Consider the following 27,406-nt stretch of genomic DNA (forward strand, 5'->3'; position numbering starts at 1 on the left):
TATCATCCAGATATCCTAGATTTAGAGTTAGATGCAATTGTTATATTTGAGCTGGGAAGAGTTAAATTTGTGTTTATACATGAAACAGATGTATTTTGGCAAAGCTGGGGGGGTATGAATGAAAAAAAGGCATGTTGGTGTATCAAGAACACAAGGAATAGATGTAACTGGGAATTATTATTTTCTGTTTAGAACAGAGATGCCCCATTAGCTTTCTGGGATTCCTTATTCTGTGAAGTTTGGTGAGTACACAAGAAACCTTGTCTATTTGCTCCATCTCAATCATAAGCCCCTCCTGTCCCCATTAGTAACCATTTTCCTTATTTTTTAAATGCCAATTACTTCCTGCATTTTTAAAGAATTTCATTATTCAAACTCGTATCCCTAGACACTATGGTTTAATTTTATCCTCGCCTATTTTTAAATAATTGATATGTCTTTTTAAGTCTCCTAATCTATAGGTACTCCTTTCATCCCTTTCTTTTCCTTAGAATTTTATATTGAAGAACCAAGATCATTTGATCTGTAGAGTTTCCTGCAGTCTGGATTTTGCTGATTTGGTGTTCTTGGAGTAGTTCAATATGTTCTTCTGTCCATGGCATTTCCTGCCAATTGGCAGCTGGATACAAAGATTGGACCAGATTCAGGTGTTACCCCTTTGGTAGCCCTATGGGAGGTGTTTGACACGTAATGTCAGATTGTGTCTCGTTTTATGATGGCAGCAGTCAGCGATACTGATTTTACTCATTGTTTTGAAATGGTGATATTCTAATTCTATCATTTTTAATGTATTAGTTGGAATACTTCTATAAAGAGACACATTCTAATATTTGGTTATCCAGTGGTACAGTTCATATTGAAAAGATACAATAAATCCTTGATTCTTTCTCTTTACTTACTAATTCTTTAGATTGTTAAATGCTTCCCTATTATTCTCCAAAGATGGCTCGTTTTAAAAATATTATTATGAATTTATAGATATTTGATGGGTTTTAGTTTACTGTAATTGTTATTATTATTGAAGCTCAAGTTGACCAATTTTTGGCCAGCAAGAGACTCTTCAAGCTGGCTTCTAACTTCTTTTGACATGAACCCAGTAGTTTTTCATACCCTCCTTGCTCTCTTCTATGACAACATGTTTCAGGCTTAACTTACACATTTTCTGCTTTAGAGCTGGAATCAGTAATTTTTCCATGAAGTTCTAGGTTCCTTTTAGTGATAAATTTTATTTCAAGATCACAATCTGGGTTCTAGAGATACTCTTTGCTACTAAGTTAGTCATTGTAGCCCTTCTCTGTGGAAAGAGCTAGTAAAGAGAGAGAAAGTCAAATTCAAAACTATTATAGTTTTAGGAATTTAGATTAACTTCTTTCTTCTACACCTCAAATCCTGGTTGTCAAGATGACAGGGGATGATAAAATTAGACTATCCCCTGATTACTCATTTGTCTTACTTCCTATTATATGCATAGCAGCAGATTACTAATGCTAATATTACCACCAATATGAATATTGAAAGTCTGTTAAAATTTGTATATGCTTTCCTCTCATTTTATTTTTATTATATCTACATTGTCAGATCATATGGTTAATATACATTACACTCTCTCCTTGTTCCTCATTTAGTTTTTGTTCTATAAGAGTTGTCTATATAGTTAACACTCACCTCCTTATTCCAATATCTCTCCAGTAACTTTGGTTGTCTGAAGCTCATTCTCTATAGATTCCTCATAAAGGGCTGATGGGACCAATATTTCTTGAGTTCTCGTATGTTGATAAAAGTTTGTCTGTGTCCTTTACACTTGAAAGTCACTTCAAATAAAATCCTTGGCTCACAGTATCTTTCCTAAATATCTTGTTTGTCCATTTTTTTCTGACCTAAAGGGATTACTATGTCAGATGATAATATAATTTTCTTTCTAAGTTATATACACTTTAAAAAATCTAAATACCCAAAGGATTTTTCCCCCCATTCTTCAAAGTCCAGTAATTTTACTAGATTATGCTTTGGTGTTGATTTTTCTGAGTTGATAGTGTCAGGTATGTAGAGCAATCTTTCAATATCTAGTTTTAAATCTTTTTTTAATTCAAGAAATACTTCTTTAATTATAGCTCTTAGTATTTGTTTTTTTCCTTTGGTTTGGTTTTCTTCTTCAGGGATTCCTATCATCCTTGTGTTTCATCTTTTTAGTCTATTTTCAATACTTGTTACTTTCTCTAGACTGTATCTTTTTTAAATATTCTTCTTCTGTTTTGCCTTGTATTGGTCTTAGCCATTATCAGTTTTTTGCTCTTTTATTCTTTTACTTTAGTCTTCATTTTGTTAATATTGTTTTCTTCATTTCTAATTTTTTCCTAAGTTCTCTCAACTCACTTCTTAGTTTTTCTAATTCTGATTTGTGTGATCCTTTACATATATTATCTTGTTAATGCCTTTTAGCTTGTTCTAAAATAATAGCCTATAGTTTTGTTTTGTGGACACATTTTTCTGATGCTCTTTCACTATCTGTAGTGATGTTATGCTGCTCCTTTTTTCTCTTTTTTTGTTATGACAACTTTTATGGAATTTGATCTTGATAATTTGCTGTTGCTCATTTTCATGTGGTATTAGTTTTCCTGAACTTTTATAATAATGCAAGGTTCAGAAAATCTTGCCCAACTTAGCTCCATCTTTCTTTGTTTTTATTTTATTTATTTATTTATTTATTTAATTTTTTTGAGACGGAGTTTTGCTCTTGTTGTTCGGGCTGGAGTATAATGGTGTGATTTTGGCTCACTGCAATCTCTGCCTCCTGGGTTCAAACGATTCTCCTGTCTCAGCCTTTTGAGTAGCTGGGATTACAGGCATGCACCACCACGCCTGGCTAATTTTGTATTTTGAGTAGAGACAGGGTTTCACCGCGTTGGTCAGGCTGGTCTTGAACTCCTGACCTCAGGTTATCCTCCCGCCTCGGCCTCCCAAAGTGTTCGGATTACAGGCGTGAGCCACCACACCTGGCCTCCTTGTTTTTATAAAGTGCTAAAAATAAAAATAAATAAAAAATACAGCAGTACTTTTGAGATTTCCTGATACTGCTCCCCTCTCTGGCTGTTGAACATTTGAAGCATGGCCAGTGTGACTGAGAAGCCAAATTTTAAATTTTAATTAATTTTAACTAATTAAAACTTAAATAAAATTAATTAAAATTGAAATAACCACGTGCAGTTAGTGGCTACCAAATTGGATGGTGCCCTTCTAGACTTATTTCCATTGCCTCTACTGCCCCATCCTGCTCAACTTTGATTTCTCTCTAAGCAACTTCTGATTGTGGAAACTTGTCCTAGAAGAGAGTCCTGGAGGGTCAGCTTTGACATAGCACAAGGGCTAGATGGCTTCATTCCCTCCCTTTGATCCTTTTTACTTTTCCAGCTGCTATTATAAAATTGGCCTGAAACGCTTTACAATAAATAACTGGAGGAGAGCATTCTAGTTCTTCCATCCATCAGACACCATTCCATTATTTTCTTCCCTCCTCAAAACATAATCTTTTATGCATATATGTCTTGTGGCTTTCGGTGGTTTGCCCTCACCTCTTGTGTTCTGGGGTTTATGAAGGTACCTTATTACCAAGTTTTATTGTAAAGTTTATCCCTGGGCATTTGGTTTTGCTAATTAGTGGATCTGGTTTTTGTTTGTTTGTTTATTTCTTAATGTAGATTTTTGTAGAGATTGAAAATTACACAGACACTCCTCTGTCCCCCTAAAATGCTTGAAATAATGTATTTTTAAATAAGGTTTTTCCATTTAAAATAGTCATACTAATCATGGAATATTTTTAAAAGGAGGAAAGAAATCCCCATGGACCCACCAATCAAAGGCAAACTGCGGGTGACATTTTAGTGTATTTCCCTCATGTTCTTTTTCTATTCATGGTATTTTTGTATAGCTGTGAGCATACTGTATATACAATTCCATATTATATTCTGTTCTTATAACATTATAATTGTTTTCCATTACAAACATTCCTAAGTATCATTGATCAGTAACTATGCTAAATCTGTCATGTGGCTCATCCATTATTTACTTAGTCAATCCCCAATTTTTGGTCAATTAAAAAAGTTATGGGATATTAGTTTGCTCTAAGCTACATTGGCACCTATTTTCTTTAAAAAATATCCCTAGAGAACAACCTGTAATCTTATACAACCTGCTAATGAGGAATAATAGCTGTGTCAGGCTCACAAAGGAGTTCCTATGACAGGTGTTAATAAATGATTAACATCTCTAAAGAGGCCTCCTGGGACCACATTAATAATTGATGAGACAGGTGTATCATTTTCATCTTGAAATGTTTACCTCATCTAGTATAGAAAAGTTTTCAATAATTATTTTCCCTGGCATATGTAGTGTTTACTCCGTATGTGTATTTATGTGTGTATATGTATATATGTTTATGTATGTGTACTTGTGTATGTAGCATCATCTGTATCTTCAGCCCTGATGTTTCTTTTGTCCACCAGACTCATATCCTATTGGCCTTGCCAAATCAATACACACAAAACAAAACCCATTATCTTTCTCAATCAAATTTTCTTCTCCACTTTTGTTTCCTGCCTTAAGGTGTGTGTTATATCCACCAAACTGGTCACCCAAAATAGATTCCTAAGAGATAGAAAATAGAATCCTAATGGATTCCTTATCCTCTCTCTTTTCAAGAATCAGTCAAGTCCAATATTTTCTACCTGTTTAATATCATTGATAAATCCTTCTAACTCTCCACAGTCATTGCTACTGCTTTACTTTGGCCCTCATCATATTTCTTGTGGGCTATAGCTAGAATCTCCTGATTAATCTTCCATTCTTTAGACTTGTCCTATTCATTATCTACCCCCATTCCTAGCAATAAAATAAACATCTACAACTTTTTGCCCAAGTGGGGTTTCTGTAATTTAAATAGTTTTTGAAATGTTCAGAAACATTGAGTACACCAGAACACACAGAGGGGAACAATAGACAATGGTACCTACTTGAGGGTAGAGGGTGGGAGGAGGGTGAGGTTCAAAAAGGTACCAGTTGTGTACTATGCTCACTACCTGGCTGATGAAATCATTTGTAAACCAAACCCCAGCAACATGCAATTTAATCATGTAACAAACCTGCAGATGTACTCCCAAACCTATAATAAAAGTCAAGGGAAAAAGTTCTCCAATATCGACAGAAAGAAAAATCTTCTGCTTGTACTTACTAAGCCTCTTCCTTTGCTAATTTCCTTGTAACATCTGAAACAGAGATAGATATCTTTGGAGGCATTTGGAAAACTCTTATTACTCCCTCTCTGTGAGATTTGTCCTACCTATAAGTTTGGGCTTTAGTCTATGTGTTGTCCTTTGTGTCTCTCAACTGGCACCAGCTTCAGCTAATTGAATCAGAAGTTTAAGCTTATCCAAGCTGGGCTATTTAAAGTCTTTTTGTTAGAGGGGTTGAAATCCCAAACTGGGTATTTTGCTTGAACTAGGGTGATGTCAATTAACGAGCTGAGACTGCCTTTATTGGTTGCCCATGTGTGCAGGAAAACAGAGTCTTCAAAGAGAAAGAACTAAAGCTGATGGAGGCCAAGCAGCAAGATGAGAGACCACATAACCCCAGTGAAGGAGTAGATTCCTTGTTCCAGATGTTGGCAAGTGCCTGGTCTAGTCGCAGATGCATCTGGCCCTTGAGTTTTGCAACAAGCCTCTGTATCCTTAAAATAAAATGCCATCTTTTTAAAAGTAAACTAGCTCGAGGGTTACTATTACTTGTGATATGGTTTGTATATTTGTCCCCACCCAAATCTCATGTTGAATTGTAATCCGTAATGCTGGAGGTAGGGCCCAATGGGAGGTGTTTGGATCATGAGTGGCTTGGGCCATCCCTTTGGCAATAAATGAGCATTCTCTCTGAGTTCACAGGGGAGCTGGTCATTTAAAATTGTGTGGCACACCTCATCCTCCCCCACCAACACATTCTGTCTCTCTTGCTCCTGCTTTTACCATGTGAAGTGCTTTCTCCCACTTTGCCTTCTGCCATGATTGTAAGCTTCCTGAGGCCTCCCCAGAAGCCAATGCAGAAGGTATGCTTCCTGTACAGCCTGTAGAACTGTGAGCTAATTAAACCTCTTTTCTTTATAAATTACCCAGTCTCAGGTATTTCTTTATAGTAGTGCAAGAACGGCCTAATATAACTTGCAATCAAGAGTTTTAACTAAGACACTTATTCATCTTCCAAGACTAAGCCAAGGTTACTCTTTTCTAAAGATTTTACAAATCCCAATACCACCTTCTCCCTGACTCTCACGTGTGCTTCCCTCTACCTGTAACATTTCATTACTCTTACACACCTGCTACTCCCATACTAATCTGTAAACTGCTTAAGAACAAAGGGAATGTCTTATGTATTTTTACATCTCTCCAGTGATGAAGGGTACATAAAAGTTTAACACATTTCCCTCATCGGATATTGTAATTTGATAGCATAGAAACTGAATTTAACCTGAATAAATATTTTGTTTGGCCTATACAGAGAACTTCAGTCTCTCTCTCTCTCTCTCCTCTGTCTCTGTCTCTGTCTGTCTCTCTCTCTCTGTGTGTGCCTGCACACATGTGTAAAATCTAGTATTTTCATTTACTTCTCTAAAGATAAAGATCTTAAGACCATTCCTTAGTATTATCCAGTATAGTATATTGATTTCCTCTCTACTTGATTGAAACAGCAGAGTTGGGCATTTATTTGGCTGATGTGTCCATAAGTTTTGTGGAAAAGTCAAGTCCAACATTGACTAAAGCACTCTGGTAGAAACAAAGGGAGATAAAATTATAAAGTAATATCTTTCCCCACAACTGCACCAAAAATGCACTTTCCAAAGTCACCAATGATCTCCTTTTTGTTAAATCCGAAGGGCATTTGACCCTTTTCTACAATTTGACATTGTTAACTAATTTCTTCTTCAATTTCCTTTCTTGCTTTTAGGGATTTGACTCCTAATTTTTTTCTTACCCTTAATCTAGCCCTTATCTCTTTTATGTGTTTCTCTTGCTCAGCCTTGCTCACTTGGTGTCTTTGATATTCTTCTCTTTTATTTTACTGTCTCCGAGGCTCATCTCACTTCTTGGCCTTTAATTATTTATTTATGTAGGATGTGAACTCCTAAATCAGCATTCAAGATGTATATTTGGATACTCATTTCAATGTCTCAGTCTCAAACTCAATATATTAAAAGTTGTATCCTTTATGTCCACCACCAGCCCCAAAGAATGCACAACTGAACAAAACCCTGACCATCATCCTATATTTTCTCTCTTTCTGAGCTATCCATAGAGGTGATCAAGATAGAAATGTGTGCCATCTTCTATTCATTCCACTGTCATCAACTACATGTACTCATCAAACCATGCCAGTTCTACCTCCTTAATAACTGTAGCTTAACACCTGAATAACTGAACAAAAACTTACAATTTAACTCTCTTAACACTTATCTACCTCAATTTTATTTTTATAATTTATACATAATCTATAATTATTTTTATATAATTGGCACAGTGATAATTCCAGATAAAACTCACTGAATTTCTATTTCCATCCTTGCCAATGATACACACACACAATGTAATGCTGAGAGGGTTGGGAAGGAAGAATGGGAGAAAGGCAGAAGTTGACAGTTAAAAAAAAAAAGTTTCCAGATGGTTTTCTTAGTGTCATCTCTGCAACCTCATCAAATAAGGGTCCAAAATTTATGTTACAACATTTGTTTGATGCCTTATTTAAATTGCTTTACTGGACATTTTCCATCTGTTAAGCTCTCTGAAAGAAACAAAATTGCCTTGTCATAGCTAGACCTCATGATCCTATACACTTACAACGGGCAGACTTTGCAGGGGCCCACACCTTTCAAGGTGGTTTGGGAAAATGACACAGAAAAGTTTTACATCAGCTGAAAAGAAAAATGCATAACTCATTTTGGTAATTTCAGTTTTAATTCTTAATAGGATAAAGGAAACATGCACATTATAAATCAATGCTCTGTGTTAACAAATAATCAAGTAAGCAGAGTTGCAAGTATTGGCTAAAATGAATTTTGGATATTTTTAGCTACCAAATTTCTCGAGGCAAGGCAGACATACATCTGGACCTGAATATCTGCATTATTAGGGAATTTTTGTTTGTTTGTTTTATATTGTTTTGTTATTTTTAAAAGTAGGTGCCAAATTAGGTCACCTGCTGTCTGGGCAATGTTATTTTTTGCCATAACCACAAATTGAAGAAAATTGACTGCTCTTTTTCCTTAGTCAACATGCTGTGCTTCCAGCCCCAAACATCTTTGAGAAGTTGTTTAGATTCATGAGCAATGCCTCTGTCCCCAACAGGCTAAGACATTAGGCAGGTCCCTGCACCTCTGGAGTCCTCAGTTCCCTGCAAAGTGAGGAAGCTAGACTAAGTAATCGTTAGGCTCCCTTCCAGACCGACCAATCTGATGGTATTAGATGCAATTGCTCCTGAATTAGGGCATGAAATGAATTCAGCTTTGGTGCACCAATGTGATGACTCTGCTTCATCAAAGCCTGAGCACGCGATAGGCCTAGCACCATCTCACACAGAGACAAAGGGCAACCCTCTGCTTCCAAAGGAATGACACAACCTGTTTCTGAAGTGATTCACATCATCTTTACTTTTGAACAACCCAATGCTCAGAAAACAATCTAAGAATCTTCGCTGACTTTAGGGATGTAAGATACGGTTTCTTGACAGTATTTGGGATTGTGGAAAAAAGCAATTGAGGAAAGGGCATCTCCACAACGCAATATTGAATTTAGTGCCCAAGGTCCATCACAGGAATCCCTAACGATCCCTACAATCTCTCTCTCTCTCTTTTTTTTCTCTCTTTACCCTGAAAATAAACTGAGAAGTTAGTATTGGGATAACTATTCCCCTTGACCCAAATAAAAAGTCCTGGGCAAACACAGGTACAAATTGCCAAATGGAAAAAGTTCTTCTCCATCTTCAGCTAGAGGGAGGCTGGGGATCCCAGCTCTTTAGAAGCCGGCCCGTGGACGCCCAGAGAATCCCTTCGGAGACCAGGTCAGGGTCACTGAGCTTGCCCAGCAGGGCGCCGCCTCGGACGCCGCCCCGCCTCTCACCTTGCCAGCGCCGCGCTCGGGCCGCGAAGGTGCGTGCGGCGCTCGGTGATTGGCGGCGGCCCGGAGCTGCCCGGCTGCCATTGGCTGCCCGGCCCCCTTTGTTCCCGGGTCCGGGCCGCAGGCCCGCTGCGGCGGACTGGGCGGCGGAAGTTCGACGGCGCCGGGCGAGTGGCTGTTGAGCGGCGCCGCGGGAGTTCCGCAGGTTTCCCGTGTTCGCAGCGGAGCCGGAGGCCAGCTGAACCCGGCCGTGGGATCCCGGATAGGAGGAGGAGGGGACCCATAGGACGCGTTAACATGGACCTGGAAAACAAAGTGAAGAAGGTAGGGGGGCGCTCGTGGCGGGCGGCGGCTGCTTCACCTGCGCGGGTCGCGCGGCGCGCGGCGGCCGGAGGTGCCGAGGTGGGTGGGGCTCGCGGGCCCCCCGGTGTGAGCCCGGCTCTGGGTCTGCGGTGCCCCGGGCCCAGGGACCTGGCCCCCTGGGTAGAGGAGGTGCTCGGCGGCCCCGCCAGCTCCCCACACTCGGGAGCGACAGAATTGGAAGCGCGAGCGAGGGCGGGCGCGGGACTCTTCTCTCCAGTCTCACGGAATCCCAGTGGTTGTAGGTGTTGGAAACTTTACTTAAGATGTTTCAGCTCTGCCTGTGCCTCCTCAAAAGGAAAGGACGAGCTTAGGGCGAGTGCGGGCGAGACCGTGACACTTCCTGGCTCAGGAAGTTGAATTTCATTAAGCCTTTGTGGTTTGGGGCTCTGCTGTGCTTTGACAGCTCTGATCTCCTCCCTTCCGGCTGGGCTGTCTGGGGCGCTCTAAAATGAGTGTTGATTTAATGCACTGCCTTCGCACCCGTGCTGGTGATAACTTCTAATGTGATTTTTTTTTCGGTCATTCATTACTTGTCTACCGACCGAGGCAGTGCCTCCCTCTTAGGGAATTATCTGTCAAAGAGCGCATTCTCCTTGTTTGGCAGGTAGTCCCAAAGGGCGGTTGTCACCAGCGTCTCAGCGCAGGGAGACATTTTCAGCTTGGCTGCTGCCTCGCAGGCACTGGAACCGACGGCCCTACCTGAGCCACTCCCGGGTTATGCGGAGCCTGGTGTCGCCTGGGAGAAAAGGGTGGGGACCAGACTATGACTCAGAAGGAATGCTGATGTCACATTCGAGTGAATTGCCCTGTGCGAAAGTTCTCCTCGTTCCAGGGGATTTGCTCATGTTTTACTTTGTGGTAAATTTAAGCTAGCTGTCCCTTATCAAATAGAGAAGTTTTGCAGAGAGAGGAAGGGAAAAATACAGAAAACAGTTTTTGTTTTTCTCATACTCATGGTTCCTAATATTTTATCTTCTAAACACAAAGTTTTTGACTTGAGCATTAATTCTATTTTATGCCCAGAACTGGATTTTTGAAAATGGATACAAAATATTGTGTTAGGACTGCAGAGTTTTCGGTTAGGAAGCTATTGACCAATAAAAACTCGAAATGAGAAAACAGTTTTTTTCATTCCTTGCGACTAAAATTCTCAGGCACTCAAAAAGGTATCCAAGAACAGAAAAACATAAATTGTTAATGGTAGCGTGATTGCATTCTATTCTCTTCCCATTTGGTTTCTTTCTTTTTTTCTTTTAAATAACTGTAATATTTTTGGTTAATCTTGCTTGTCATGGGGGAAAAGCGGGGAAAGCATTTTGCCCGCTTAGCTTTCTGTTGATGAATACTACTCTCATTTAGTTTTCAAGTAGGTAAGAGCTACTTAATTTAGTACTTGTCTAAAACTTGGGGGGTCTTGTCCTTGCTTTTAAGTATTTATTTGAAGACAACTTTGCAAAAGTAAACATATTTTGGGCTGCCGAGGATGAACAGGTGAAGCACAGGATTTTTAGGGTAATGACACTATTCTGTATGATACTATAAAATGGCTGATACATGTAATTATACATTAATCAAAATCCATAGAATGTAGAACACCAAGAGTAAACCCTAATGTAAACTATGTATGTTGGGGATAATGATGTGTCAATGTGTTTCATCACTTGTAACAAATGTACTGCACTGATACGGGTTGTTGGTAGTCCGGGAGGCTGCTGGAGACAGGAAGGCATGGGGGAGGTACATGGGAACTTCGAATTTTCTGCTCAATTTTGCTGTGAAGCTAAAAAATGCTTTAAAAATAAAGTCTGTTTAATAGGGGGAGAAAAATCAAAGACATTTTTGAAACTTTTTGAGACAAGGAGTAATTCTGAGGGAAGAAGTTCAAACTTAAAAATTGTATATGCTTGCAAAGGAAAAATCCAGACGTTGTTTATAAACAATTTCCTTAGAGTTTGAAAATGTGGATTATGATAAATAATGCCCTTGACATATGGTGTAATTTTCCTCGTTTATCCCCCACTTTACTTTTAAAAGTTATATTTTCAACCAAGAATCTTAACTTTCTCTAATCCTCCTCTTCTCCGCCTCTACCACCCCAGAAAGAATTCCATAAATTAAAGGTTTTAGAGAGAATCCCATGATATAACAAATCCCTGTTTCACTACGTTGTCTTCACTGATGATTCTTAGAATCCTCAACTGGTAAATTGGAAGCTATTAAAAAACCGCAGAGATGTCCCGTATGACTCCAATTTGTGAGTCCCTTAATAGGCTTGATAGTCTAACAAAAAGTTTCCCAGTACAAAATTTGGAAATCTCAGGAATGTATTTCACAATCTTAGCCATACTCTCAAAAAGAAATTTATGTTCCTTTTAGCAATTGTTTTCTAACACGTCCAAAGAAGGAAATATTACAAGACTATCTGATTTACCAGCAGAGTCCTCACCCTATTTTGGTACCTAGTTTTCAAGTCTCCTTTCTTTTTGACTCAGTTATTCAAGAAAATTTATAGTTTGAATGTACCTTGAGAAAAGGAAGATTAAAAGTTGGAACAAAGATACAACCATTTAAATACAACTAATATGACTTCTGTTTTAAGATGTATGACATTTTTTCCTTCTAAAACTTTTACATTGTTGATTTCATGAGGAATTTCTTCCAGACAGATGAAAAGCATCATTGTTCCACATTAACATTTCATGTAAAAAGAATTAAGGAGGACTGTCTTTATTAAACAGTGATTGAGATAGATGATACTATTATAAAATTCTTGGTTTGTAAAAGGAAAGCTCGTCCACATCAGTTGTACAAATTGGGATTAATTACCAGTTAAAACCCACCATCACAAAGACAAGGGGTTTTTATAATTAGATTTTGCTATATTTTGTTTTGTTTGAAGAAAGCGAGCTGTTGCTAGGATGTGGGAGCTAGTTTGGTTATACAAAGTTTTTGTTTTAATAATACTTTAGAACAGAATTGATTCTATGTCCTTGCCCTGTCTTCTGAGTTACACATCTAGACCTCTTTCTTATTTTTTAAGTCTCATCTTAATTGGCTTTGTGTCAGTATGGTCCATGTCTGCTTGGGAAAAACAGTGGACTTTGAGAAGCAGAAACAGTCTCATTTTGCGGTGAATGGTAAATCATGGCCAACAGCCAGCTGTTTTCCTCTTTCCTTTCTGTGTTACTCTCCCATGAGAAATATTTTTTTTCAATTAAGAACATACCAACAGAGAAAGAGAACTACAATAATTTCCCTTTTACTGCCTGGAATTGCTGCAGGGCTTTTTCATTTTACCGTGTTCATTTTTTCTCTCCTCTAACCCCTTTATTTTGATTAATCCTAATATTTTGCATACTTTTCTTAAGACTCTTATTTCTTTAATTTTACTTTTTAAAAATATGATGCATTTTAAAGATTACATGTTACTAAAAATCCCCTTTCTCTGTATCCAAACTTGTTTTCAAAACCTTTGTCATTAGCCAAAAAAGCATAGTGAAACCAAATGAATACTATTGGAAAAAGGACTAAACTACAAAGATTATTTCCATTGGAAATTAGAATGAGTTATTTGCCTTAGGTAGCCCCTGGTTGAAGTGGAAAAGGCAATATATGGTGACCTGGATGCTCAAATCTACAATTGCATTCCAGGCTTGAAGCCATTCTTGCTGCAAGAACCATTGGCAAGACTAAGGGTAAAGGTAGGGCAAGGCACATCCAGGGCTTTGCTTTAGAGGTGTTCTGCCTCTCTGAACAAGTGCAGAAGAAAATGAGTGGTCCTCGGCCAGGCTTTTATAAAACTATTCTAACCCATGGTGTGATTCATTACATTGGTAGAATATGAAAAGTCCCTTTCTCTTAATTGTCCTGAATATTGGTTGGAGAAAAAAACTATAGTAGGTTTTCTATTGATTCTGTTCCTTTATGCTGTCCTATGAAGTAGAAATAGGAATTTATATTGCTACTGGCTATTACCTATGTCCCATCAACTCACCCTATGACTTTGCTTGTGCATGCCCATACTCCATCTACAGTTCTAAATTTTTTCCATCCTTCAAGGACCAACCCTTCACACTGCACACTCCTCTAGGAAATCTTTCTCCATGCTGCCACCTAGATGAAAAATATTTTCTCCTTTTCTCCTGAATTCCCAAAACATGTTATTGGTAACACTTAGGACACTAATCACTCTCCACCTCTGGATTATACTTATCTGTTGTATGTTTCACCTTCTTACCTTGCTTACAAACTTCTTGAGAGATGAATCCATATCCTGTTACACTTACGTGGTTATTTTGTTTGCTGTTCAAAGCAACCTTAGGAAGTAGGCCTTAGCCCCATTTTCAGGATGAAGAAACTAAAAGTTTAGATAGCGTAATCTGAAACCTTACTATAGAGAACTTTACTATGAACTTGAACCATAATTTGAAGAATCCATGCTGCTTCCATCATGCCAACTAGGCCGAGTCTTATATTCTTCATCTTGCTCACTAAATATATGTGGAATGATAACTGTTATAAAAAGAGAAATAAAATAAGGTACATTTCAACACTTTCACTCATTTTTTAAAGGAATTATATTTGAGGAAGTGGTTTATATTCCAATAAAATCACCATCCTGCTAGTTTTCTATATTTTGTTTCTACTTTGTCCATGTTGTATGTATTCCCTTTAGTGTAAGTTGCCATTGACATTCTTTGGGCAGAGGCAAAGTATACGAAAAGTAAAAGTATTGTGAAAAGGAGTTTCTGGGAAACTTCTACAGTCAAAGAAATAGCATAAACTCCAATAATATTCTGTACCTTATCTTCTAAGATTCTCCCAACTTCCTGACTTTTGGTGTGAGCCAATGGTAATGCTGTCTCCTAACTATGTAAAATGGCCCTAGGTAACAGTGACCCTGTATTTGGCTCTTTGTTTTGTTAAGTTTAACCAATGGCATCTGGAACTATAAAGGGATGCTCGTGGTCTTTTCTCGTGTTGAGCTCTGCAGTTGAGAGAAAGCCTTACACATAGCATGAGTAGGCTAAACCTCTTTTCCCTTGTAGCAAAGTGTTCAGAGTGCCTCTGGAGTGGCAGACCAGACAGCTAAGAATGGAGCAGCTAAAAAGAAACAAAAAACAAACAAAAAACCTCTTAATATTGGGAGAACTATTTTTTTGTTTTAATTTCCCATTCTTCATGCAAAAACATTTCTTATGAAGCTGAGAAGCTGTGGGAAACACCAAAATGATCAGATATTTCATGAGGCTCTCATGGAGCTCCAGAGTGACATCCAGCATTGTTAGCATGCGATCAACATCATAGACCATCAGTGTGCAACACGAGTTACCAAGAGGGGCTTTCTTAGTGGAAAGAGAGTGATAAATTGGTAACATGGAAGCTACTTCCTGTGTTCTTTTTCTGAGAACTAGAAGAAGGAATACAAGTTGGCCCCATGCTAATGTGTATATACCTTTTTTACATACCAATCACTAGTGTGTTTAGAAATTAGGAAAGGTCAGTAAGTCTCCAGTATATATAAACATCTATAGTGTATGGAAAGGTCTTCCATAGTGTATCCGTTTTCTCACTTCCATTTATCAGTATAATATATTTAAAATTGCCCTAAGCTGAGAGTTGGTAGATCCGAGTCCACTATTTTTTGTGATATTAACCACTTTGGCTATCAATTTCTATTTATATAAAAATCAGTAGGGGAACCAGATGATTTCTGAGGTTTCTCCAAGTCCTGTGACTCTTTGATCGTGGGAAATAATATCAGTAGTCTACCATGTGTAATGTTCCACAGTGCTTTAAAATCACACAAATGAAGAACATATATGTATAAATATATACATAAAGGAGATGGCATAGTTTAAATGTTAGTGAATTCCATGAAGAACCTATAGATTGAACCAAATAATTTTTTTCCACAAATCTTAGCTATTTTCAACTTGTTTGTACTTAATTTTCATAATATTTGTGGAGGTATTTGAAGATATTAGGTTAAGTTTAATTAATTTAAATCTGTAGTATAAGGCTCTGAAGGCTGTAATAGTGTGGGTCCCATAAGTCTAGGAGTGATGTATTACTTACCTTGGTATTTAATTATGGGAAAATGAAAAATAATGGAACATTTATTTTCTTTAAAAGTTATCTCTCTCAAAATAAGGCTGTTAAAATAATTTTAAAAGATTAAAAAAAAACTATATGAGTGCTTTTTTACGTACCATGCACTGTTCTAGACTCTGGGGTTATAGTTGTGAACAAGAATGACACTGAACTTAAGCTTGTATCATAGAATTATGCTATTGCAAGTGTTGATAGAGCAATGTAAATATTGAAAGTAAGCACAACTGGAATTATACCCGTCAGTGAACTCTTGATAGGTTAGCAGTACGCTATGTTTCTAACACAGACAGTGAGCAATTTTGATGGTGATCCCTGGGCTTGATTCTTGGTTTTGCAAACTTTGTAATTAGGGATTCTTATTTCATTTGTCTTAAGTAATAGCAAATGTAAAAGATGGGAAAATGAGAAAGCAGCTTTTATGTATTAGAATGTGAAAAAGATTATGAATGCATAAAGCTATACAAATAGACTTACACCTATAATATACACAAACTATAAGTCTTCTCCCTGCCTACAAATGCCTTACAAAAGAGTCATTCTTGGATTTCCTGTTTGCAGTCATAGCTAATTTTTGTTTGGTAACTACTGCCATGGTAACCAAAATTATGATTTTAAAAGAATTGTTTATTAAATCATTAATATACAGGAAATTATTTTACTTTTTACAAGGTGGTGGTATCCAGAGAAATTATATTATTAATTATGAAATCAACTTTTTCTAGGAGAGGAAGATAAGGAAACAAAAGACTAATCAAAAACATTGCAAAACTGCAGATTTTCAGGATTTTAAAGAAAAATAATTTGGTAATTGATAACTTCACTACTGTTCTTTGAGTAAATATCCATGTTTAAAATTTGCCTCAAGCACTATTAGAGGATTAAATTTAGAGGTTATGCTTTTCAACTGCCCAACTACAATCTTTGACTCTCCTACAAAAGAGCTGCCATTTAGCATGGTTTTGTCAATTTTCAGTTCTAAGTGCCCTGTCTACCTAACATTCTAGTTAGATAATGGGGAATTAGAGCGATAAGGATATGCATGACTATAATTTTCTAAGTATCACTGTATTTATTTTGGTCAAATTCAAAAAAGTAAAAAAGCATAGTTTAGAATTGCCAATTTCTCTGTTCCTTAGTCTGTTAGAATGGTGGGGAGTCGGCTCAGATTTGAGCATGGCTTAAAGTGGGAGAGCGTTATTAGAAGCCAGCCTAGTGGGGATTGCTGAGATCTCATCTGCTGAATGACAGCAAAGTTACTACTCTGTAAATATACTTAATCTGAAATGCTGAATTATCCTCAAACCATGAGTGATTCAGCTTGTGTTTATCATTGTGACATTCTGGCCACTGTGAAAAGCTGTAAACAGGAGTTTCAGGGTGTTCATTGCATAGCTTATCTGAGCAGCGAGCCCAGCAGAAAAGATGGCATTCAGCCCAGCAGAAATGCCTTGATAAGGAGTCCATTAATGCATCTCTAGCCACAATGAACTTTTCCCTTGCTTTGTTTGATGATAAAGTGATATCATGTTTCATTGAAAAATGACCATGTAGATGTTAGGTGGATTTTTGTTTTTATATGACCACAACGTGACAGTCTTAACAGAATGAGTCACAAAGTAAGGATCAAGGATCTGATTTTTCCTTTATGAGATACTGGCCTACAATAAAAATAACTGGGGGTTAAAAAAATTACCCTTTGTTTTTCGTAGAGAATATTAAAAGTGCAGTTTAGATTTAAAACTACAGACTCTAAACTCCATATCTATCAGTATCACCTCTTGAGCAAAATACCGATGTCACCTTTGATAGATTTTTTTTTAAAAAAGGAAGGAAGATGAGTGAGCAAAACAGATGTGTAAGTTAACTACAGTGCTGGATAGAATGACATAAGTGCTATAATACAATTTCTTATCTGGGATGAGGAACCTTTTTATAAACAAAAATTAATCATTGGTTGATATTTTTAAAAACACAATAAAAATTTATTACTTAAAAGACAAATACAGGGCCAATTAAAAAAATTATTAAATGCAAGAGACACAAAATTACTTTAAGTATATAGTAGTTCCTAATTGCCTACTGTCAGTTTCTCTGCCTATCTCATCACAGACTAGTGACTTACACTTTGTGAACTGCCACTTTGAGTAGCACAGCAATAATAGAAATACAAACAACTGTTATGAAGTCTTAGAAGCAGAAGTAACTAACTTTAATTGTGTGGGTTGCGATTATTTTATCAAGGAAACACCTCCTATAGAATAAAGAAGCTTTCATTAGGCAAAGAAAGCATTCCATAAAGAGGAAATAGCATGAACCAAAGGTACCTGGCTGTGAAAAGTCAGTAAAACCACCCTTGACATTTTCAGTTTTGTCTCTTCTAAAATAAAGCTAAAGTAGATGAGCTGCAGTAATTTGTAATTTTTCCACAGTACAGGTTTGAATTAAAGAGGTATGTCACTGAGCTAGTATAAGACCCTAGCCCACAGCTGAAGAGTTTCTGATCTCCCTTAACTGTGATGATTATTTAATACATTGTGTCATCTATTGAGAGAGAGGAGGAAATTTCACAGTAGAGTCTAGCTCATTTAGGCTGGTCTGGACTCTGAGCTGTGGACTGGGACCACAATGTTGCCAGGTTTTCATCCTTCTTAGATCAGTGAAGCCAACAGTAAAGGTCATGCCCAACTGCAGGAGCACCTTTTAAGCCTCTTCTTATGCCAAAGCAGTCACATGTCCAGTTCTGAAGTCAAGGAGAGAAGTCCAGTCTAGCAACTATGAGGCTAGGGCAGGGATATGATGTTGAATACTATTACGTGGGAATGAAGGATTGGGACCATTACTTCAGTCTACCACGTGTGCTATAGAGGGACAGTTGAATGTAGGGGCTTGAGGATACTTTTCTGAAGATCTTTCATGTATCAAGAGTATTCTGAGATGATATTCTGTATGGTATCAGACTACACGTTTCAAAGCAGAGTAGTTTTTGGTCATTCTGAAAAACTGTAGAGGAAAGTTAACTTTGCAGTATCCCTTACTTGATATTTAGGGTTTCCTTTTTTTAATCTGGTCACTCTTCTGTTAGCTTTGAAACATAGGCCTCTCCAAATTCATTCCAGCCGGGTCATGTGACTTCCGTGTTAAACGAAGACATGTAAAACTCATTTCTTTGGGAAATGGCAAGTTGCCTAAGGTTTTGAAGGGGAATTACAAAATATTACCTTTTATATACTGCAACAAATGGAAAATATATTCTGTGAACATTCCAATAATATGTGTTAGACTCTATCTTTGGTAATGGAATAGAAGGTTATCCCAAGATAATTGGCAGAATTTAAAGGTAAAAAGAGGCAAGACAGATTTCAGTGGCCTAACTCCACAGCTCTTTTAAGATGTCCCAGGTAAACCAGTAGTGATGTTATTCATTGTTACTTTCTCATGGACCAGATAAAATTAAGCCAGAGGGTAGGATCATCCTGTGGACCACTGTTGCCCACTTTTCTCTAACAGTTAGGGAATTTAAAGGAAGCAGCGCAGACTTTGACTTTTCCAGACATAGATTTGGATCCCACCTTTGATATTTACTCAGTAATTTGGCAACAGTTGCTCCTTGGTTTCAGAGATCTAATCTGCAAAACATGGATAGTACTTCTTTATTGGATTATTGTGAAATTAAATAAAGTAGTACATGTAAATGTTTAGAACAGTGCCTGACATATAGCAAGTACCTGGTCAGTGTTATTAATGTTCTCTGATCAGTTTTGTTTAGTTAGTTAGACCTTAGTACCAATAAGTAAACATTTTGAGAACCAGAACTGCATTAAAGTTGGGTATCAGCTTTAGAACCCTGGGTTCAGTTTTTGGCCCTGGCGTTTATTAGCTGTGTGAATTTGGGAAAGCTACTTAGCCCTGTAAACCTTAGTATCCTCATCTGAAAATGGGTTTCAACTGTCTACCTCACAGGGTTGTAAGGATAATCGAGATGAATATCTTAAAGCACAAAGTATGGTGCCTACACATAGACAATAAACAAATGTGTGGTAATCCTCTTCAAGAAATTCAATCTAGAGGGAAGAAAATCCTGCATAGATCTTCATGCTATTTAACAGACACCTGAATATATTGTCAAGAATTTTATGATGGCATGCTCTCAGTAAATTATTGCCACTTGGTACTTTGTTGGACACAAATATCCATTTAAAGTTCGATAACTGGGGGATATATTAAATTACTGGATTTAATATATCCTTTTGCTAATTTAAAAATTTAATATATTTAATGTATCCTTTTGCTAATTTAAAAATTATTCTGATTTATATTTTTATAATGAAATTAAAATTTATAAATATTTCTGGAACTTGAGTACCTACCATGTGCCAATCGCTATGCAAAGGATTCAAAGCTGGGTATATTAGGTTCCCTGAGAAAGCACTTGATTGAACACTGCAACGTATTGTGGTCCCGTATAGGGAATTGGTATGTTTCCCTGATTGGAATCTTCCTCAGAGTTTCTGAGGTAAATTACAGAAATGGTTACTATTCTTTGCAGCACCTCCCATTAAAAAGTGGAGTCTGTTTTCCTTCCCTTTGAATCTGGACTGCTTTCTGACTTACTTGGATCAGTAGAATGTGGTAGAAGTGGTGTGTGAATCCTAAGCTTGGACCTCAAGAGACCTTGCTTGCTTCTATTGCTCTGTTGCTGGGATTTAAGTCTTCACAGCTTCCCACAGTGAAAGCTGTGGAAGGAGTCTTACAGAAGACTGTCCCCACTCTGAATTACTCTCATATTCCTCTGTACATCTGAAAGAATCAAGAATCAATGTACTGAAACTGCTCTAATTTCATTGGTGGCTTAAGATTGAGCCCACTTTCTGCTCTAGACGAATCTGATTTTGATTTTTGTGCTTGTTGTTCCATTAAAGTGAAGGAAAATTAAATTAACATGCAACTGCAATTTTATCTTAGTTGTAAATAGGTGGTATATGCATATTTTGAAAATTGTCTGATTTCCTTGAATCACTAGACAAATTTTAAATGATGTCTGTGCACCTTCTTTAGTGGTATAGTCTAAATATAGAGCAAAAAGTATGGTAATCCAAACCACTTCTCTGATACATCAAAAGTTAAAACATGGGTCAAAAATTAGTTAAGGCTCTTTGATTTATGCAGCACAACATATCAATAAACAGAATTCTTTTTTTTCCAGAATAAGGGATGGTGTGAAAAGGGTATGCAATAAATAAATAAGCAAGCATGAGGACCTGGCAGTAGGGTTCTTACATCTCTCCCTTCCTTTCCTGGTTTCCAAGACCCCTCTCCTTGCTATAAGACTTTGTTTTTGTTCTAAATGCCTGTGAATGCTAATTTGGGGCAAAAGAGAAAAACGAGAAGACTGTCTTTTTGCACCCCCTTTTCTGTTTTCTTTGCTGTCTCTGTTGGGCATTACTCTCTAGGTTTCCTTGGATCCTCCTGCTCCTCTGGGCAGCCTCCTTCAGTGAAGCCCTCAGCCAATGCCATGAGCCTTTTCTTTCATTCTCCAGTCTGTGAAAACACATCTGTACTGCCGTCTTTTTCTGCATGTGCTCCAGTTAGATAGTTAAAGAATTAGTGGCAATAAATCACTTAATTGTACAGTCAATCTACTCATCCCCTCACCCATGTATTATGATGGGTTACCCCTGAAGAAATAATACCATAGCCTTTAGGCATCGCAAGAATGATCGCAGTATTCAAGTTTGGGGATAAAGAGCCTTAATTAAGACCTCTCAAAGCAGCTCTCTGTGGGATCCACCCTTTAGAAGCAGCTGTGGAGATAGTGACACAAGACCAAATTAGGAATGGTTGCCATGATCCAGATTCTTTTATGGAACTCCTACAGATGCGTTTTGGAATCAGGTTTTTAAAGTCCCTTTTATAGCAAATAAATAGGAGGTTTTGAGGGCTGTTTATGAGCGCATTCCATTACAGTGTCTTTCAGCGGAGCCAGAGCTCAGCCAATCCTAATTAAGAAGCAATTTCAGCTGCAGTCATTGCTTATTATAATAATTGTGACATTTTTATAGCCCTACATTGTCTTTCTCAAAGTAACGGATTCAGGAGGAGTCCTTTTCTGAGTAGAGTCCACAGAAGAGGTATTCTATTGGTAAGCATTTCAAATGACTTCCTTCATACAGTAGTATAAAAATAATTTGATAGCAGTCCGTTTGAAAAATGTTTATAAGGAACCAGCTTAAACTGATCAGATGGAATATATTTTCATCAGTCGCTTACCTGAAATAAGTACAAACCTTTTTTATTTTTTAAAAGGGGGGCCTAAATTTCGCTCCTAATAATATTGTAAGGTTACATATTAAGTTTCAAATAGATAAGTAGTACTGTGAGGGAAGGAACTGCTAACTGTAAATACTACCTAATTTGAATCAAGTAATTTTGGCTCCTGATGTCACATGGAGGTACTGAAATTTATTTTCTTTTACTTAATTCCATCTCCAGGTGGATTTATATAATGGAATTTAAAAGTTTATGTAAATCTTTTCCAATTTTTATTCTGTGTTCTTTAAGGATGACTGTGGCATAATATAAACATTGCGAAAATTTTCTCCCAAGTATATTTGGTATTTTAATAATCTGGTTTGCAGCTGTCTTCTGTAACACAAGTGTGTGTGTATGTGTGTGTACCCAAGTGTGTGTAACTATATATTGAGAAAGAAAATGAGACTTAGAGGCTAAAAATCATATTCTACCCTGTCTTCTGAAAGATCATTTCCTGGTTCTTACTGAGTGAACAACTAACAAATTGAAGGGAATAAGTATTAATGAGGAAGGAACAAAGTTCTGCTTTAGATGCCCATTGGGTGAAGAGAATTTAAATATTTGAAATGGGCAAAATAAAGAGAAGTGGTAGATAAGTACCCCATATACCCCTGTTCCCCTTTATAATATGTCTGTCTCGTCACAAATCACTTAGTCTTTGGATTTAAAATCAAAACAGAAAAGAGGATATAGTAGGCAGCATCTAAGATGGTTCCCAATTACTCCCACCTACTAGTAGTCACACCCTTACATATTGCCCTGCCATTGAATGCAGGCTAGCCTGATCAGTTGCCAAAAAATGAAATGTGGCAGAAGCAATGGCATCACTTCCGAGATTAGGGATTACAGCTTCTATCTTGTGGTTCTCTTGCTCTCTCTGGGATCACTTGCCCTGGGGAGAACCAGCTACCATGTCCTGAGGTACCCATGTGGGCAGGCCCATGTGAGAAATCTTAGAAGTGGGTCTCTCCCTAGTCGATCCTTGCAGCCCAGCTGACCCCGATTGCAAACTTGTAAGAGACCGTAAACCTGCCCATCTACCTAAGCCACTTCCAAATTCCTGACACACACAAACTATGACATGATAAATCGTATTTTCAAACCCTAAGTTTTGGGGTAGTTTGCAGCGAATACAGAGGTGTTCCATTATGAATCTAGAAATTCAGTGATTTGAAAAATTTGAAAAGAATGATATTTTGCTTCATTGCCCTGAGTACTGCATAATGTATGTAATCTTACATATAATATAGCAGATAATTTTTAGTACTAGTCGTGTCTACATGTTTTGAGTAAACACCTTTCAATTTTGAAATATAATTTGTTCATTTGTATTTCTTGCTCATTCTTTTAATTTTTTTTTTCTCTTGCTGTAACATTGAAAGAGACCTATTTTGCGTCAGGACCCTGGAGATTTTTGTTGACTCACACCTCATTCTTCTGAGGATCCCCTTGTGTGTGAATTTATCACCTCGGGGACTTCCATGTTAGTGTAGCTGATGTGCAGACATTCAGCTTCCTCATAATAAGTCCCAGGTTTTGCCTAGGATGGAGGAATTCCTGCCTAGCAAACAATGAGCAGTCTTTAAGATCAAAATTGATTACTCTAGAGAAGTTACAGAAGAGGAATATTACCCTTTACATTACTATTTACCTTTTTAGTTTCAGTTTGGAGGGAAAAAAAAACAGTGACTTTGTAGTGAGTGCATAGAGTTTGAGTGAGAAATGCCAAGATGCAAATCTCACTTCTGCCACTTGCTAGTTGGGTAGTCTTAGGCAAGTTAATTTCTCCAAGTCTCAATTTCCTTTTTATGAAATAGGGATGATAATACTTTTCCAATAGGTTGTTGGGGATTAAATGTGATGGTTATATGTATTTTAGCTGGCAGGTAGTAACATTTTAACAAACGGTGGTTGAGGTGTTTTTACTAACACTTCCACCATCACAACCCTCAGTGCTCATTTTTTAAAGTATAGTTAAAAACACTTCAACATATCCTGCCAAAACTAAAATTTATTATTGTTTCCTAGAATGTAGCAGGATCTATTTCTGCTCTTCTTCAAATATGTTACTGTATGTATTGAGGTATAGATGTTTTGAGTAATCAGCTACAACTTGATTACATCTCAAACTCAAGTAGAGAAATTGTCTTGATGACAATACCTTTGTCATTAACTTAATACTGTTACTGCCTTAAGAAATGTAGGGATAGATTGAGTAGGAATCATCCACTTTAATTTGTTAAAGTCCCAGAAAACTTGACGTACTACCTCCAGAATATATTTTATTACAAAATATTTAGGCAGAAAGAACACTTGTTTCCTTTTCATTCCTAACATAATAGTCTATGTGATTATTTACTGCTGTCTGTGAACAAAAAAGATTTCTGACCATTTGGCTTACAGTGGATTTTGTGATAGAGATGCATACAGGGCTTCTGGCTTTATACATCTAAGCTGAAAAGGTGAGGGGATGTGGAAATGAATCCTAGAATCTGCAGTAAATAGTTTTATTCCTGTTTCCTTATGGATGAGCCATGTTGACAACTAAAGACCCTTAACTGATTATTCTATTCTTGAGCTATAATATTTGGTCTTCAGTTAAAAATTCCATTACATTCTATTTTTAAAACTGATTTAGGAAATAGGGCTTCTTTATCAGGGCGTTCCATTTTATGACCTATCTTGAGGCACTATTTATTGGTTAGGAGCAGTCACAGCTCTGTCCCAGTTTCTTCATGTGGATAAAAATGTGGGTAGTAATAGTATCTCAGACTCTCATAAGATTGTTATGAGGTTAAAATGAGATAATCCATGTAAAATACTTAGAACCCTGCATGGCAGTGTAAGTGCTCAATAAAAATCAGCTGCTGCTTTTATTATCACCACCCCTTCCAGTGTCTTTTTGTGTGTGTGTAAAAAGGCAGTGGAAGTTCCTTGGGATAAAGATATGTTATGATAAAGATTGTTTGATAATTAAAACAATTAAATAAATAAAACTTTCTAGCACTATTGTAAATCTCAGACACTGGCAGGTACTAGGAGTTCAAATATGAACAAGAAGCTCACAATCTAATGGGGGTAAATTGATGTGCACACAATCATAATATAGTAAGGAAGGACTTAATAACACAATTTGTGCCAAGGGGATAGTTAAAGAAAGGTATCACAGAGTTACTGACATTAGAATTGAGTCTGTGGGCCCAGTAGAGACAACGACTTTGGCAGATGGAGAAGAAGAGGAGCAGAGGTTCAAGCAAAGTGAAAAGCTCCGCTTAAAACAGAGAGCGGCTGGAGGGGAGTGGTGTGAGGAAGGCAGGTGGCGCCAGGCTTTAAAGGATCTTCTTTGCATGCTAAGAAAAGTGAAATTCATTGAACTTATTAAAACCATCTAGCAAGGGGAGTGTTATGATTATCTTTAGGTTTATTAAAATAATTTTGAGAATAGCAATACAACGTCATACAAAATGATCAGTTAGGAGAGTGTGGTCTCAGGATGATATGATGTGAGTTTGAACATGAACACTCGAGTGCAGATGAGGGAGCAGACTGTGTGGTTTTTAGAAAAGAGACACTAGAATTTGGAGCATCGTAAGCATGGCTAGACAAGGACAAGGAGGCCTCTGGGCCCCAGGTTGGGTGACCAAGTGGGTGGTGACAACTTTGTCTTCAGTCTTCTTCTCATGTATTTCAGCCTTGAGTAAGTGAGAGATGGGAAGTTTTTGTTTTTATTAGCAAAGAAAGAGAAATGTAGCAGATTTATTAAGAATGACTAATTGTAGCTCTTAATCACACTAGTTCTTTGTATTCTTACCTAAGAAAGTTGGCAAACTAATAAAATGTGCAACTATTTTTATATTTAAGTTTGGTTTTCTGTGTAACCTACACTTTTTATTTTATTTATTTATTTATTTATTTATTTATTTATTTATTTATTTATTGGAGATGGAGTCTCACTCTGTCACCCAGGCTGGAGTGCATGGCGTGATCTCAGCTCACTGCAACCTCTGTCCCCTGAGTTCAAGCGATTCTCCTGCCTCAGCCTCCCGAGTAGCTGGGATTACAGGCATCTATCACCGCGCCCGGCTATTTTTTGTATTTTTTTTTTTTAGTAGAAACGGGGTTTCACCATCTTGGCCAGGCTGGTCTTGAACTCTTGACCTCATGATCCACCCGCCTCAGCCTCCCAAATTGCTGGGATTACAGGCATGAGCCACCGTGTCTGGCCAACCTACACTTTTTTGGTAATGCAAATCTTGTTAGAGATTTGGAAACAGGCAATGAACTAAAACGTTCAAATTTTAAATCTTGTGTCAGATCTTAATAAAAATATATTGATTGGGTGGGGGACTTCACAGATCACACTGGATTTCTAAGAGAGCCATTTGCTAAGAGGAATTATTTAGATATGTAGTTCCTTTGTCCAGAATATTTATCTGGATGAACAAAATCTAAAATGCTTCTTTAGGAGTGTAATATGAATATATGTGTGTGTATATATACATGCATATGTGTGTGTATATATGATAGGTGGATAAACATGCATGCACACACACACTGAGAAAGCGGGAGTGGGAGAGAGAGATGTATATTTCATATGATCTACCTTCATTCCAATATTATTAAAGAAGTCTTAGTAATGCTTGTTTAGTAACCACATAGGATTCTTTACTCCAGAGGGAAATTTGGTTATGAAAACAGCATGAATCAGATGATCTCACCCTGAATACTGCATAATATCTTCCAGACCCAAATTGTCTCCAGATCAACTCAGACCATGTTTGAAATACCAGATGTTCCATAGTCTTTTTTTTGTTTTTTTTTTTTTGTTTTTTTTTAAGTATCTGACATGCAGTACCTTTTTCTGGGTCAGAAGGGTCACCTGAAATGTTGCCAACCTATTCGACTGCTGAAAATTATGAATATGGATACATTGATTCCATTCCCATTTCTTATTCTAAAATAAGCAGGGGATAAAAGGGTGTTTGGAGGCACAGATCATGGGAATGTAAATTCAGTTTATGGAGCCTGCAGTTAAAGATACTTAAGACCTATTTGTCTATGATTCGTGTTTCACAGTAAAATTATGTAGTCACTTTTATTTTTTTCTTAGGACCTTGATAGATAGTCCCAAAGCCTGACTGTAATTTCTCCCAATATAGTCAATCCAAAGGACCTGTTTTCTTGGACGCTGAAGAAGAAAAATTATTCTGTCATATCCTTTTATTGATGCTGGCCAGAATGTGTTACTAAAATTATATGAAGTAGACAGCTTTGAGACTTGTGCGCTTATGAAAAACATGTGTTTTTAGGCACTAAGTGTTGAGTCTGCAGGGAATACCGTATCACATTTACTGTTGAAATTATGTTAAAATAATTACGTGCAACAGGACTGAGTTTTATCATTCACAGCTTAAGTCTTTTGTTTCCTATGCATACTTTATAAAACTACTCCACCAGAGTTACAAGTGATTCTG

General features: G+C 37.3%; 1 protein-coding gene across 2 annotated transcripts in view, besides 5 other annotated features; it reads left to right on the top strand.

Moving 5' to 3' along the window:
- Window positions 8,994-9,123: a silencer, noted in NCBI's record as "silent region_18553". NCBI's record gives its function as "represses an Ori minimal core promoter by ATAC-STARR-seq in GM12878 lymphoblastoid cells {active_cell/tissue: GM12878}" and the evidence as "EXISTENCE:reporter gene assay evidence [ECO:0000049][PMID:35858748]".
- Window positions 9,157-9,419: a silencer, noted in NCBI's record as "fragment chr7:115850475-115850737 (GRCh37/hg19 assembly coordinates)". NCBI's record gives its function as "represses an EF-1alpha promoter that drives an FKBP-Casp9 reporter gene in an ReSE screen in K562 erythroleukemia cells {active_cell/tissue: K562}" and the evidence as "EXISTENCE:reporter gene assay evidence [ECO:0000049][PMID:32094911]".
- Window positions 9,174-9,373: a silencer, noted in NCBI's record as "silent region_18554". NCBI's record gives its function as "represses an Ori minimal core promoter by ATAC-STARR-seq in GM12878 lymphoblastoid cells {active_cell/tissue: GM12878}" and the evidence as "EXISTENCE:reporter gene assay evidence [ECO:0000049][PMID:35858748]".
- Window positions 9,275-27,406, top strand: part of TES (testin LIM domain protein) — a 48,245-nt gene continuing 30,113 nt past the window's right edge. The window contains exon 1 of one of the 2 annotated variants that reach the window (NM_015641.4): window positions 9,275-9,470. In NM_015641.4, coding sequence (NP_056456.1) covers window positions 9,444-9,470 — 27 coding nt within the window. In that variant the 5' untranslated portion in view covers window positions 9,275-9,443. Of the gene's footprint in view, window positions 9,471-21,688; window positions 21,763-27,406 lie in introns of those variants that run through there. The other variant, NM_152829.3, reaches the window with a different exon arrangement.
- Window positions 9,514-9,603: a silencer, noted in NCBI's record as "silent region_18555". NCBI's record gives its function as "represses an Ori minimal core promoter by ATAC-STARR-seq in GM12878 lymphoblastoid cells {active_cell/tissue: GM12878}" and the evidence as "EXISTENCE:reporter gene assay evidence [ECO:0000049][PMID:35858748]".
- Window positions 9,964-10,203: an enhancer, noted in NCBI's record as "active region_26526". NCBI's record gives its function as "activates an Ori minimal core promoter by ATAC-STARR-seq in GM12878 lymphoblastoid cells {active_cell/tissue: GM12878}" and the evidence as "EXISTENCE:reporter gene assay evidence [ECO:0000049][PMID:35858748]".

Source organism: Homo sapiens, chromosome 7 (genome assembly GCF_000001405.40).
Source record: "Homo sapiens chromosome 7, GRCh38.p14 Primary Assembly".
NCBI classification, from domain to species: domain Eukaryota; kingdom Metazoa; phylum Chordata; class Mammalia; order Primates; family Hominidae; genus Homo; species Homo sapiens.